Source organism: Homo sapiens, chromosome 19, assembly GCF_000001405.40.
Source record: "Homo sapiens chromosome 19, GRCh38.p14 Primary Assembly".
NCBI classification, from domain to species: domain Eukaryota; kingdom Metazoa; phylum Chordata; class Mammalia; order Primates; family Hominidae; genus Homo; species Homo sapiens.
Window position 1 is genome coordinate 38,643,607 of NC_000019.10, and position 13,142 is coordinate 38,656,748.

The following is a 13,142-nucleotide window of genomic DNA, read 5'->3' on the forward strand; positions in this document are numbered from 1 at the left end:
CGTCCAGGCTGTTCTCAAACTCCTGGTGTCAAGTGATCTGCCCGCCTCAGCCTCCCAAAGTGCTGGGATTACAGGTGTGAGCCACCATGCTAGCTGACTCTAAACTGTTTCATAAACTAGGTTGAGGCAGGGCTTGGGTGGCTCACACATAATCCCAGCCTGTAATCCCAGCATTCCCTGAGGTAGGAGGATCACTTGAGGCCAGGAGTTCCAGGCCAGCCTAAGCAACCTAGCGAGACCACCCCCACACACTCCCCTCACCCCCACCACTTGTCTCTACAAAAAATTTAGCAATTGCCGGGCACAGTGGCTCACGCCTGTAATCCCAGCACTTTAGGAGGCCGAGGTGGGCGGATCACAAAGTCAGGAGATCAAGACCATCCTGGCTAATACGGTGAAACCCCGTCTCTACTAAATATACAAAAAATTAGCTGGGCATGGTGGCAGGTGCCTGTAGTCCCAGCTACTTGGGAGGCTGAGGCATGAGAATGGCGTGAACCAGGGAGGCGGAGCTTGCAGTGAGCCAAGACCGTGCCACTGCACTCCAGCCTGGGCGACAGAGTGAGACTCCGTCTCAAAAAAAAATAGAAATTAGCCAGGCGTGGTGGGGTGCACCTGCAGTCCCAGCTACTTGGGAGGCTAAAGCAGGAGGATCATTTGGGCCCAGGAATTTGAGGCTGCAGTGAACTGGAACGGTGTCACTGTACTTCAGCCTGGTGACATAGCGAGTTGCTGTGTCAAACACCATCACCACCACCAGCACCAAGAACAATATCAACAAAACTTGGCTGAGCTGGATGTGGTGGTACGTGTTCACAGTCGCAGCTACTCAGAAGGCTGAGGTAGGAGAATCAAGAGTCTGAGCTCAACTTGGGCAAAATATTGAGAACCCTGTCTCCAAAAACAAAAAACTAAAACACTGGGCTGGCCGGGTAGAGTGGCTCATGCCCGTAATCCCTGCACTTTGGGAGGCTGAGGCAGGCAGATCACCTGAGCTCAGGAGTTCAAGACCAGCCTGGCCAACATGGCAAAACCCCTCTTTACTAAAAATATAAAAATTAGCCGGGCATGGTGGCATATGCCTGTAATCCCAGCTACTCTGGAGGCTGAGACAGGAGAATCGCTTGAACTCGGGATGCGGAGGTTGCAGTGAGCCGAGATCATGCCACTACACTCTGGTCTGGGTGACAGGGCGAGACTCCACCTCCAATAAAAAAAAAAAAAGGAAAAAAACACTGGGCTGGGCTGGGCTGGGCTGGGCAAGGCAGGGCAGGGCAGACTCCTCTGCAGCCTTTCTTCCTTTCCTTGACTTTGACTGTTACCCTGAGCGTGGAGCCACAGGAAGGTTTGAACAGAGGAGGGAGGAATGTGATCTGACTCAGTCATTCATTCACAGGCTCCCTCCAGCTTCTCCTGGGAAAGAGAAGGGGGTGGGAGGGGGAGCTGGGAGACAGTGGGGAACTGCTGCAATGGCCCAAGGGAAGGCGAGGCGAGGGTAGACAGAACCTGGGTGGCGCAGTGGGGCAGGGGGAAGTGGGTGGGTTCTGTGTATTCTTTCAAGATGGAATGACAGAATTTCCTGAAGAACTGGATGGGGTTGTGAAGACAAAGAGGCATTAAGGATGACCGCAAGGTCTGTAGCCTCAGCAACTGCAAGGCTGGAGGTGCACGAATTGAAGAGGGATGACTGTGGGATGGGATGACCAAGCTTGGGGGGAAGATCAGGAACTCTATTTTGGATATTTATTATTATTATTATTTGAGATGGAGTTTCGCTCTTGTTGCCCAAGCTGGAGTACAATGGTGCAATCTTGGCTCACCACAACCTCCGTCTCCCAGGTTCAAGCTATTCTCCTACCTCAGCCTCCTGAGTAGCTGGGATTACAGGCATGTGCCACTATGCCTGGCTAATTTTGTATTTTTAGTAGAGACGGAGTCGTTGGCCCGGCTGGTCTTGAACTCCTGACCTGGGGTGATCCGCCCACTTCGGCCCCCCAAAGTGCTGGGATTACAGGCGTGAGCCACCACACCTGGCCGGATATTTATTTATTTATTTTTATTTTTATTTTAGACGGAGTCTTGCTCTGTCGCCCAGGCTGGAGTACAGTGGCGCGATCTCGGCTTACTGCAGCCTCTGCCTCCCGAGTTCCAGTGATTCCCCTACCTCAGCCCCCTGGGTAGCTGGGATTACAGGTGCATGCCACCAAGCCCGGCTAATTTTTGTATTTTTAGTAGAGACGGGGTTTCACCATGTTGGCCAGGCTGGCCTCTAACTCCTGACCTCGTGATCTGCCTGCCTCGGCCTCCCAAAGTGCTGGGATTACAGGCATGAGCCACTGCGCCCGGCCATTTATTTTTAATGTAAACATTTTTTTGTAGAGATGAGATCTTGTTATGTTACCCAGTCTGGCCTCAAACTCTTGGGCTCAAGCACTCTTCCAGCCTTGACTCCCCAGAGTGCTGGGATTGCAAGAGTAAGCCACCAGTGCCTGGCTGAATATTTAAATTTAAGATGCTTCCTGATGCAGTGGCTCGCACCTTTGTTTAAATGTCTGCCTTCTCCATGAAGCCTACCTGAGTAGTTTATTTGCATTCCAGCCCATGCTTGATTTTTCTCCAAATACTCAACACCTTGGAATATACAATACTACCTATTTTTTACTTTTATGTATATTTTTGAGACAGGATTTCGCTTCTGGAGTGCATTGGTGTGATCACAGCTCACTGCAGACTGGAACTCCTGGGCTCAAGTGATGTCCCTTCCTCAGCCTCCTGAGTAGCTGGGACTACAGGTGCACACAGCCATGCCCAGTGAATTTTTACATTTCTTGTAGAGACAGGTTCTTGTTATGTTGCCTAGGCTGGCCTTGAACTCTTGGGCTCAAGCCATCCTCCCGCCTCAGCTTCCCAAAGTGCTGGGATTACAGGTGTGAGCCCCTGTGCCTGTCTACATATTTTTTAAAATTTTGAGTGTTGAGGCCAGGCGCAGTGGCTCATGCCTGTAAGCCCAGCACTTTGGGAGGCCGAGGTGGGCGGATCACCTGAGGTCGGGAGTTTGAGACCAGCCTGACCAACATGGAGAAACCCCGTCTCTACTAAAAATACAAAATTAGCCAGGAGTGGTGGCACATGCCTGTGATCCCAGCTACTCGGGAGGCTGAGGCAGGAGAATAGCTTGAACCTGGGAGGCGGAGGTTGCAGTGAGCCCAGATCACGCCATTGCACTCCAGCCTGGGCAACAAGAGCGAAACTCCGTCTCAAAAAAAAAAATTTGTGTGTTGGTTGGGCGCGGTGGCTCACGCCTGTAATTCCAGCACTTTGGGAGGCTGAGGCGGGAGGATCGCTTGAGCTCAAGAGTTCAAGACCAGCCTGGCCAACATGGTGAAACCCCGTCTCTACTAAAAAAATACAAAAATTAGCCGGGTGTGGTGGAGCATGCCTGTGTTCCCAGCTACTCGGGAGGCTGAGGCAGGAGAATTGCTTGAATCCGGGAGGCGGAGGTTGCAGTGAGCCGAGATCGCGCCACTGCACTCCAGCCTGGGAGACAGAGCGAGACTCCGTCTCAAAAAATAATAAAAATAAAAGTAGATTTGTGTGTATGTGGCTTCCTTTACTAGAAGGTAGTTTCATGAAAGTTGGGATTTTTTTCTGTTTTTAGTGCCTGCGTAAAACATAGTCTGGCACAGAATAGGTGTTCAATAAATATTTGTTGAATTTGTGTCGCTGAATGGGAACCCGGTGCAGTGCATTCCAAGCCTGAGCTGGTTCAGGTCCGATGGCGGGGCCTGCCCTTATGAATCATTCATGATCTGGCCCCGCCCATACGCGAACGACGCGCGCGTTCACGCCGGAGAGGGGGCGCGGCTCGCCCCCGGGCTGAGTCGGGCGGCCAGGAAGCGGGACTCTGCGCAGGCGCCAAGCTCCGGAGCGCGGCCTTGGTGCCTTTTCTGGTTTGGCAGGCGCGCGCGCGCGGGAGGGCGGCAACCTCGGCGCTGTGCGCAGGCGCGGCGGGCAGTGCGCAGGCGCGGGCGGAGGGCGGGCTGAAGCAGCTGAAGCGGCGGTAGCGGCGGCGGCTCGGGCAGAGGGGCGGGAGCTGAGGCGGGAGCGGACAGGCTGGTGGGCGAGCGAGAGGCGGCGGAATGGTGGACTACCACGCGGCGAACCAGTCGTACCAGTACGGCCCCAGCAGCGCGGGCAATGGCGCTGGCGGCGGGGGCAGCATGGGCGACTACATGGCCCAGGAGGACGACTGGGACCGGGACCTGCTGCTGGACCCGGCCTGGGAGAAGCAGCAGCGCAAGGTGCGCGGCCCGCGGGCCGGACGGGCTGGAGGGGCTTTTCTGAGGGGGCCCGGGGAGGGGTGGGAGGTCCTGAAAGGTAACTGGAGCGTCTGTGATGGGAACGGGGGGGTCCCGAGAAGGAATTGGCGGGTCCGGGAAGGGAATTGGAGTCCTGAGGAGGAATCGCCGAGCTAGAGGAAGGAATTGGGAATCTGAAAAGAGAATTGGCGGCTGGGTGGGGAATATGGGAGTCAAATAAAAGGAATCGGGAAGGCTGATGAAGGATTTGGAGGGTCTGGGCGTGCCATTAGGGGAAACCGAGGAGATGACTGGGCAGGCTGAAATGGAACTGGGATCCGAGGCGGGCTTGAAGGGTCGGAGCATGGGTTGGGGGTGCTGGGAGGAGAATCAGGGGAGGCTGAGAAGGGAATTTCTGGGTCTGGGAAGTGTGAGGAGGAGCTTGAGTGTGGAGGGGTTGGTTATTTGGAGAGCAGAAAGATCTGAAGGAGATTGGAATTGGGGGAGCCTCAGGTTGGGGGAGTTATAAAGGGGATGAAGAATCAAGTGTGAGGATGGAGTGGAGATTGTGGGGTCTGAAGACGGGTGGGAAGACTAGGGAGGCTGGGAAGATGAAAACAGGGGCTAAGGGTAGAATTGAGCATGAAAAGACATGGGCTTAGGGTGTGAGGAGGGTAGAGGTGCCAGGACTGGGGGTCTGAGGAGGGTGGGGTGCGGAAGGAAGAAGTTAAGGGGCCCGTGAATCAGACGTTTTTGAAGGGGGTGAGATTTATTTGTGGTGCCCTGTTCCAAAGGGGAGAAGATTAAGAGATAGGAGGAATAATAAGAGGAATTGATGAGGGATGGAGAAGCCGAAGTAGAGGGGATACGGAGAGTGGGGATAATTTGGGGAGGGATTTCTAAAGAATTGATGGGAAGCTGAAAAGCTAAAGCGTTGGAGAGAATGAGGAAGTGTAGAGGGAGAAGGTGAGATCGGTGGGAGGGAGGGTGAGCTGGAATGGTGGATAATGGGAGAGAGGTTCGTTTAGGAAAATGAAAGTCTCATTAGAAAGGGAATGCGTAATGGATAGACTGAGAAAGGAATTTGAGGAGGGGGTGCTGGCTCCTGGAGGTGCAGTCCCGGGACTGGAGAGCGTGTGTGTGTCGTGCAGGCAGAATGAGTTTGGGGAGGAAGCGTTGAGAGTGTCCAGGAAGAATTGTGTCTTTTTTGGAGAGACCGGAGGTAGGTGAAGGGATCCTGAAGCAGAGACTGTGTTCAGGTGGCACTGTTTTTTTGGGGGGCGGGGGGGGCAACTTGGTAGGGCCCCACAGCAGTGAAAAGGTGATCAGAAGTGGAGTGGGATCCCCGAGCGAGGTGTCAGTGTCTGTGGGGGGGGGATAAATCCAGTGTGGTTGAGGGGGGAGCTCTGAGTGTGTGCAGGAAGAGCTAAAGAAAGGAGCGTGGTGAGTGGGTGTGTGTGGGGGGAAGGGGTTGTTCAGAAGTTTTGTGCGTGAAATGGGTGGGAGGTACTTGAAGTTGGAAGCATTTCGTGGGATCTGGAGATCTGGATTTTCTTTCCAGATTTGTTACTGATTCGCTCTGTGGCCTTGGACAAGACCCTTGAACTCTCCGGGCAGTTTTGTTATCTGCAAAATGCAAAGGGATCCGAGGGTTCCCTGCGGTGATTCTGTTAATAAAGAGGGATGTGTGTAGAGTTGGGACTTTGGACAGGGCTCTGAAGGTTTGGGAGAGTGAGTTTGGTGGAGATTTTTCAGGAACAGGCTACAGGGCTTTGAGTGGTGACCTGGCAGAGTGGGGAGTGACTGGAAGCCTCTCGAGGGCGCGAGTTGGTGGCCAGGAGCTTGGCACAGGCAGCCTAGCCCAGGCTGGAGGGGAAAGGGTGGGAAGGGTGGAAGGAGCAGCTGTTCCAAGGCAGCCTGAGGTGGGGCCGGGCATAACCTTGGGTCCATTACCAGCGTTGCTTGAATTTCCTCATCCGTAGTAACTGAGGGGCATGGCAGTGGCTTGGTGGGAGGGGTGTCCTTATCCGTGGCCCCACCTACTGCAGGATGGACAGGTTGCGATAGTTGGCATAAATTCACTTTTTGAGGGGAAGGTGAGATCTGTTCTGGAGTCTCAACAATAATTTATTGCCTGAGGCAGTGCCAGGTTGGAAAAGGTTGCCAAGAGACCTGGAAAGTTGGGAGGGAGCAGGGGCCACAGTGGTGGTTTTGAGAATGTCTAGGCTTTGTCTTCTGCAGCTGAAGGTGCTGGAGAAAATAAACCCCTCCCCCTTTTTTCTCAGGTGATAAGGGTGGGGGGACCTTCCTTTTCTCTCCCTTCCTGTCTTCTGCCACTCCTCAAGTGACTCCTTTTGCGAGCCGGGTTTCACTCCCTCCCGAGAGTTAGGGTGTGGGCTTTGTTCGTGGTTATAGTGTCCCTTGCCTACAGGGTGAGGCTGGGGCACCATTCAGGCCCTGGGTGGAAACCAGGACTCCCCAGAACCTCCAGGCCTTGCTGCCATGTGTCATTCTCTTACCTCCCAGCTCCCTTCCTCTGGGGCCGGGCAGGTTTGAGGGAAAAGGGTGGCTCACAGAGTCCGCTAATACCATCTGCTTTCGTGTCTCAGCCAGAGCCAGATTCTAGTACCTCCTGCTTTACACCTCCTCCAGCAAATATTTACCCTTAGCTGCTCTGTGGGGGAAACTACTGCTTCACCTCTGTGCCCTTTCCTGTTATGGGGTAGGGATTCTTTTTGAAATGGGGGAAGGAGTAATGGAAAGGAATACACCAATCTGTGTGGCTCTCTACCTTCCTACTAAGAAACATCCCTGCACTCCCAGGCTGGCTGGGTTGTTTGTTTGTTTGTTTGTTTGTTTTTGGAGACGGAGTTTTGCTCTTGTTGCCCGGGCGTGATCTTGGCTCACCGCAACCTCCGTCTCCCGGGTTCAAGCGATTCTCCTGCCTCAGCCTCCCGAGTAGCTGGGAATACGGGCATGCGCCACCACGCCTGGCTTTTTGTATTTTTAGTAGAGACGGGGTTTCTCCATGTTGGTCGGGCTGGTCTCAAACTCCCGACCCCAGGAGATCCGCCCGCCTCGGTCTCCCAAAGTGCTGGGATTACAGGAGTGAGCCACTGCACCCAGACTGGCTGGGTTTTTTCTACATTGCAGTGTTGCTTTAGTGAATGACAGATTGCCCTTCTTGCCTCTCCAAGGCTGAGCCACTGGGCACGGGAAGAATGACAGTCCTGGGGGTTCTGTACATGCATACTCCAAAAAAATATGCATCCAGAACAGCTGTAGGCCCTCAAAGTGGGTAGAATTGAATTCTTCTAGGAATTAAGCAAGAGTTGGCCCAAATCAGAGGGGACGTGTGTCTCACTTCTGCTTGGAAGCCCTTTGCTCTGACTTCTAGGGACCCCTGTAACCCGTAAGTAGGTTATGCAACGGTTTTTACATGAGAGGGCCATGAGTGTTCTCCTGGCGGGATGGAGAAGCATTGTTCTGGTCTTTGAGCAAATTCTTGAGCAATTACAGTTCTGGGCCACAGTTCCCTCTCCCAATTTCTAAAAGTGGCCTGGGTAACCTCATCACCCTCTGTTGTCCTGGAAGGGTGAGATCTCTTGAAGGTTATGCCAAATCTCATTACAGCAAGAAGAAATGACTCACTTGCTAAGTTTTCGTGTTCATTGAAACATCACTATTTCAGGGGCCTCAATGTTTCAACCCTGACCGTTGGCTTTTTTTTTGGAGACGGAGTTTTGCTCTTGTTGCCCATGTGGCTGTATTAGGTATGAGTTAACTATTTGAAAGTTTTTGTTTGTTTTTTGTATTTGTTTTTTTTGTTTTGTTTTGTTTTGTTTTTTTTGAGACAGAGCCTCACTCTGTCACCAGGCTGGAGTGCAGTGGTGTGATCTTGGCTCACCACAACCTCTTCCAGGTTCAAGGAATTCTCCTGCCTCAGCCTCCTGAGTAGCTGGGACTACAGGCGTGTGCTACCGTGCCTGGCTAATTTTTGTGTTTTTAGTAGAGACAGAGAGTTTCACCATGTTGGCCAGGCTGGTCTGAAACTCCTGACCCCAAGTGATCCGCCTGCCTCGGCCTCCCAAAGTGCTGGGATTACAGGCGTGAGCCACTGTGCCCTGCCTTGTTTTTCTTGAAGTAGATCTTTTTTTCTTTTTAAAGGCTGATAATGGAGGCCCCAAAGTAGCCATCTGTTACTTTGTTCCATTACTCTAATTGCTTGCCTCTTAGGATCTGGCTAGGACTAACAGTTTTCAAAATTGAGTAACACACTTGACAAAAAAAAAGGAACCAAACTCAAACTCAACTGTTATCTAGAAAAAAGACTGTGTAAATATGTGTGAGAGGCAAGTATACTCTGTTTGCCCTCTTGTAAGAGGGATAGGGGAGGCCACTCAGCTGCTAGCACTCTGTTCTCTCCCCTCATCCTCTCCAGAATGTATTTTAGAACTTGACTCTTCTAATGACTGAAGAAAAGGTGGGGTATGGGAAGATGGCCTGGGACTGCAGGGTCACTTACACTCACCTGGCTAAGAGTTGAGATCTGGCTGGTGCCCTGGAGTGGCACCTGCCACTCACCTAATCCTAAACAATCCAGGGTGTGGGCCCAGGATTGCCCTCTGCCTTTTGAAACACCCTCCCTGGTTCCGGCTTCTAAGACCAACAGGGAGGCTACTTTGGTGGCAGGGAGCTGACTCACCCTCCAGTTGGAACTGGTGCTAAAAGCCTCCATTTAACGGCAGCCGACTGCTTGGCCCCAAGTGGGCTGCCTTGTGGGGGGGAAAGTTCAGTGGAAAGTGTTGGAGGAAGCAGGGTGGTGTGTGAATATCCAAGTAGTGCTGGTGCTATTAAGCTCTGACACAGTCAGGGAGGTCAGTTAAAATGTGGTCTTATGGCCGGGCGCAGTGGCTCGCGCCTGTAATCCCAGCACTTTGGGAGGCTGAGGTGGGCAGATCACCTGAGGTCAGGAGTTCGAGACCAGCCTGGCCAACATGGTGAAACCCCGTCTCTACCAATAATACAAAAATTAACTGGGCATGGTGGCAGGTGCCTGTAATCCCAGCTACTTGGGAGGCTGAGGCAGGAGAATCGCTTGAACCTGAGAGGTGGAGGTTGCAGTGAGCCAAGATCGCGCTACTGCACTCCAGCCTGAGTGACAGAACAAGACTCCATCTCAAAAAAAAAAAAAAAAATCAGATGACAGAGGGGAGCGGGGACAAGTTTTAAGTCTAAGCCTCCTGGGTGGGGAGTTCTGCTGTTTCAACATATGCTCCAGTCATGGCAGACTTTGGCCAGACAGCGCCCTTTTTCAGAGTGAACTGAGTGTAGCACAAGTTATCTGCCAGTGCTAGTTAGCAAACAGAATGGAGCCAAAAAAGAATTGATTTGGGAAGGCCCAAGGAATTTGAAACCGTTGAGATGAACACTTTCCGTTTTTGCTACACTGATTTATGTTGTGCTGGGAATTGTACAAGCCTTTGACCAGACCTTAGGGTTGTTCTTTAAAAAAAAAAAAAAAAGATTCCCTTGCTGCTGCTTTTACTTTTTTGAAGGGCAGAAGGGAAGGGCAAATATAATTAGTGAACAGCTGTTTGCTCTAGTATCACTTGCTCGTTCAGGTTTTCTGAATAGCTGAAATATCAACATGTTTATCTCTTCCCTTGCCTTAGTATATCCTAGAGCAGTGTTTTCCCCGGCTTTATCTTTATTCCTTCATTTAATGAACTCCGTGTTTTCATCACTCACATTTTGTTCCCTTCCCTCAGTTTCCTTCCTTTGCCTTCATTTATGTATTTAGTTTACAGAATAACAAAAGCACTCGTGTTACTTTTAAACAAGGTAAAACTTAAACAGTTTTTTCCTCCGTTTCTTTTTTTATGGAAATAAGAGGCAAGTGATAGCAAGTGGGTAATTCAATGGCAGTGGTAACTGAAGCACTGACCTGTTACAAGAGAGACGGAAGCTTCTACTTGAGCAGATACAAATACTGTCATCCGTGGAGATTTGAAAGAAGTCTTTCTATCACTGGGTAGTTTGAGAGCTCATTAGTCTTCTTTAGAATGGGTTTAAACTTGGAAACATCAAAGCAAGTTACAAGGAAACTTAGTTTTACAGTGTTGGCAGCCTAGGCGCCAGAATTTGTTATAAAGTGTCTGAAAGTGGCCCAGGTATCACTTAACTTTTCTTCAAGAAGGTCTATGAGTTACATTTTACTCGGTATCCCAGGCATCAAGGAGTGTAACTTTCAATGAATCAAAGAGAAACAGAATCATTTTAAATTCCAGCCTCTGTTTAAAGAAGGATCTTATGAAGGGGAGAAATTAACCACCTGACCCAGGGAAGGATCCCGCCTCCTCCAGAAAGTGAAATCGCCGGGTGTGGTGGCTCACGCCTGTAATCCCAGCACTTTGGGAGGTCGAGGTAGGTGGATCACGTGAGGTCAGGACTTCAAGACCAGCCTGGCGAACATGGTGAAACCCCATCTCTACTAAAATGCAAAAAATTAGCCGGGCACGGTGGTGCACCCCTGTAATCCCAGCTACTGGGGAGGCTGAGGCAGGATAATCACTCAAACCTGGAAGGTGGAGGTTGCAGTCAGCTGAGATCACGCCACTGCACTCCAGCCTGGACGACAGAGTAAGGCTCCGTCTCAAAAAAAAAAAAAAAAGAAAAAGAAAAGGAGTTAAATCTTTGCATATATTTAACTGGCAAGAGCATCCTTACATCAGTGCATGGGAAGTTTTATCCAAGTAGCAGTTTCCCTGGGATTATAAAAATCCCCGAGGCATTTGTCTTGGTGTTGTGCCTTTTTTTGGTTGTGTTTTTTCACGTCCCTCCCCTCCCCTTTCTCCATAAACAAGAGAGGCATTAACTTGGAATGTCCGTGGAAAGTCTTAGAAGCTGATTGGTGTAATTTGCCTGCCTTCCCTTTAGTTTGAACAGCGTTTACTCTGGAAGAGGTCAGTGGCCTTTTTCTTGGTTGTGATTTATGCAAGTGTTATCTGAAGGCGAGTGGAGTGAGTTTACGTGGGATTTGCTGTTTGCCACCTGTTGTTGTGCTGGCTCCTTCCTTCCTGGGATGAGTTCCATTCTCTCCCCCTCCCCCAGGAGTGAGGCTCCCCAGCCAGAGCAGTCCCCCTGTGCTTATCCCCTTCCTTCGTAAACTGCAGCCATTTGTGATTTTCCATAACCACTTTTATAGACACATAATAATTTCCTTTGAATCAGTTTGCATTTTAAATTAAGTTTTGAAAGGAAAACTGACAAGAGTATGGCAACTGGAAAACCCAGCTCCCCTGGCCATAAATATAATAGAAGGAAACTGCAAAAATAAACACATTGAAAACAAAACAGTGTTGTTTCCAGGTGGTTACCACTCGGGCTGAAGGCCCCCCAGGCTTGAGGCCTGCTCCCTTTGTTAGAAAGGGATTGGCAAGTGTTGGTGAGGTGTTAAAGACCCACCAGCACCAAGCAGAGACTTTCTCTTTGAAGTCATCAGGTTTACAAGAGAATCAAAGGAAATAACTTTCTCAATGTGATTCAGGGTGTAATGTAAGGTGTAGATAACCCTTAAAATTTTCCATGTGTGTATGTCACACTTGGGAAAAAAACTTGATCTCATCTGGTCGAGGTGGGCAGGGCAGCACCTTGTCCAGGAGCACACAGCCCCTCTTGGCTCTGTGTGTCATCCGGCCATACTAGACTCGAACATATGGCTCATGACTGGATGATGCTTGATTCATCTTCAGTTTCAAGTGTTAGTGCTTTTGAGGTTTTGTAAGAAACCAGGACACATTGAAAATACAGTCATTTCTCAGTATCTGTGGGGGATTGGTTCCAGGAACCCCCTTATATACCAAAATCCACAGATGCTCAAGTTCCTTATGTAAGATAAAACGATGTGTAATTTGCATTTTAACTATGCACATCCTCCTGAATACTTTAAATCATCTCTAGATTACTTATAACCTAATGCTAAATGCTACGTAAATGGTTGTTACACTGTGCTGTTTAGGAAATAATGACAAAAATATGTACATGTTCAGTGCAGATGCAACCATTCATTTTTTTTCTTCCAGTATTTTCGATCCATTGTTGGTTGAATTCACAGATAGAGAACCCATGGATACAGAGGGCTAGCTGTAAGAAATGTGGGTTTATCATTTGTTCCTCACACAACTTTTTTCTTTCTTCGTTTTTCTTGCCTTTGTTCCTTTTTTTTGAGACAGGGTGTCACTCTTTTTACCAAGGCTGGAGTGCAGTGGAACAATCTTGGCTCACTGAAGCTTTGACCTCGGGCTCAAGCCATCCCCCCACCTCAGCTTCCCAAGTAGCTGGGACTAGAGGTGCACACCACCACGCCTGACTGATTTTTGTGTTTTTGTAGAGATGGGGTTTTGCTGTGTTGCCCAGTCTGGTCTCAGCCTCCCAAAGTCTTGGGATTACAGGTGTGAGTCACCACGCCCAGCCAACTTTTTCTCTTAAGGCTCCAGTTTTCTTCTTAGAGTTGGGCCCCTCCCACGAAGAAAGCACACTGCCACCCCTTCATCGGATTTGAACCCTACATTTTGAAAGGAAAGCAGTGCCCTCCTGCTGAGTTAACAAGGCTTATTTAAATGTTTTTCTTCCAAATATCAGAGCAGAACAGATTCTTTGTCTTCCAGTGGAACTATCCACATGGGGCAGAAGTAGTTGGAAGCGGCAGTTACTACCCTGCAGAACACAATGAAGTCATCTTGGGAAATATCGTGGATGGTGTTGCAATGATTGAATGGGATGCTAGAACACCAGCAATACAATAGCATTTGTGTCTTCAGCTTCAGGCAGGAATAAAGAAGA

The 13,142-nt window shown here is 50.1% G+C and overlaps 1 protein-coding gene across 6 annotated transcripts in view, besides 11 other annotated features; it reads left to right on the plus strand.

The window, feature by feature from the left end:
• Window positions 3,883-4,072: a silencer, noted in NCBI's record as "silent region_10578". NCBI's record gives its function as "represses an Ori minimal core promoter by ATAC-STARR-seq in GM12878 lymphoblastoid cells {active_cell/tissue: GM12878}" and the evidence as "EXISTENCE:reporter gene assay evidence [ECO:0000049][PMID:35858748]".
• Window positions 4,043-13,142, plus strand: part of ACTN4 (actinin alpha 4) — an 83,941-nt gene continuing 74,841 nt past the window's right edge. For all 6 annotated transcript variants that reach the window (NM_004924.6, NM_001411143.1, NM_001322033.2 and 3 more), the window contains exon 1: window positions 4,043-4,301. In NM_004924.6, coding sequence (NP_004915.2) covers window positions 4,140-4,301 — 162 coding nt within the window. In that variant the 5' untranslated portion in view covers window positions 4,043-4,139. The remainder of the gene's footprint in view (window positions 4,302-13,142) is intronic.
• Window positions 4,303-4,382: a silencer, noted in NCBI's record as "silent region_10579". NCBI's record gives its function as "represses an Ori minimal core promoter by ATAC-STARR-seq in GM12878 lymphoblastoid cells {active_cell/tissue: GM12878}" and the evidence as "EXISTENCE:reporter gene assay evidence [ECO:0000049][PMID:35858748]".
• Window positions 5,566-5,764: a silencer, noted in NCBI's record as "fragment chr19:39139812-39140010 (GRCh37/hg19 assembly coordinates)". NCBI's record gives its function as "represses an EF-1alpha promoter that drives an FKBP-Casp9 reporter gene in an ReSE screen in K562 erythroleukemia cells {active_cell/tissue: K562}" and the evidence as "EXISTENCE:reporter gene assay evidence [ECO:0000049][PMID:32094911]".
• Window positions 5,723-6,017: a silencer, noted in NCBI's record as "tiled region #11915; K562 Repressive DNase matched - State 2:TssF". NCBI's record gives its function as "represses a minimal TATA promoter and a strong SV40 promoter by Sharpr-MPRA in K562 cells {active_cell/tissue: K562}" and the evidence as "EXISTENCE:reporter gene assay evidence [ECO:0000049][PMID:27701403]".
• Window positions 5,723-6,017: an enhancer, noted in NCBI's record as "tiled region #11915; HepG2 Activating DNase unmatched - State 1:Tss". NCBI's record gives its function as "activates a minimal TATA promoter and a strong SV40 promoter by Sharpr-MPRA in HepG2 cells {active_cell/tissue: HepG2}" and the evidence as "EXISTENCE:reporter gene assay evidence [ECO:0000049][PMID:27701403]".
• Window positions 6,646-6,725: an enhancer, noted in NCBI's record as "active region_14582". NCBI's record gives its function as "activates an Ori minimal core promoter by ATAC-STARR-seq in GM12878 lymphoblastoid cells {active_cell/tissue: GM12878}" and the evidence as "EXISTENCE:reporter gene assay evidence [ECO:0000049][PMID:35858748]".
• Window positions 8,519-9,128: an enhancer, noted in NCBI's record as "H3K27ac-H3K4me1 hESC enhancer chr19:39142765-39143374 (GRCh37/hg19 assembly coordinates)". NCBI's record gives its function as "activates a minimal SCP1, AML or CMV promoter by ChIP-STARR-seq in naive H9 embryonic stem cells {active_cell/tissue: H9 hESC(naive)}" and the evidence as "EXISTENCE:reporter gene assay evidence [ECO:0000049][PMID:30033119]".
• Window positions 9,129-9,737: an enhancer, noted in NCBI's record as "H3K27ac-H3K4me1 hESC enhancer chr19:39143375-39143983 (GRCh37/hg19 assembly coordinates)". NCBI's record gives its function as "activates a minimal SCP1, AML or CMV promoter by ChIP-STARR-seq in naive H9 embryonic stem cells {active_cell/tissue: H9 hESC(naive)}" and the evidence as "EXISTENCE:reporter gene assay evidence [ECO:0000049][PMID:30033119]".
• Window positions 10,276-11,144: an enhancer, noted in NCBI's record as "H3K27ac hESC enhancer chr19:39144522-39145390 (GRCh37/hg19 assembly coordinates)". NCBI's record gives its function as "activates a minimal SCP1, AML or CMV promoter by ChIP-STARR-seq in primed H9 embryonic stem cells {active_cell/tissue: H9 hESC(primed)}" and the evidence as "EXISTENCE:reporter gene assay evidence [ECO:0000049][PMID:30033119]".
• Window positions 11,145-12,013: an enhancer, noted in NCBI's record as "NANOG-H3K27ac hESC enhancer chr19:39145391-39146259 (GRCh37/hg19 assembly coordinates)". NCBI's record gives its function as "activates a minimal SCP1, AML or CMV promoter by ChIP-STARR-seq in primed H9 embryonic stem cells {active_cell/tissue: H9 hESC(primed)}" and the evidence as "EXISTENCE:reporter gene assay evidence [ECO:0000049][PMID:30033119]".
• Window positions 12,133-12,182: a silencer, noted in NCBI's record as "silent region_10580". NCBI's record gives its function as "represses an Ori minimal core promoter by ATAC-STARR-seq in GM12878 lymphoblastoid cells {active_cell/tissue: GM12878}" and the evidence as "EXISTENCE:reporter gene assay evidence [ECO:0000049][PMID:35858748]".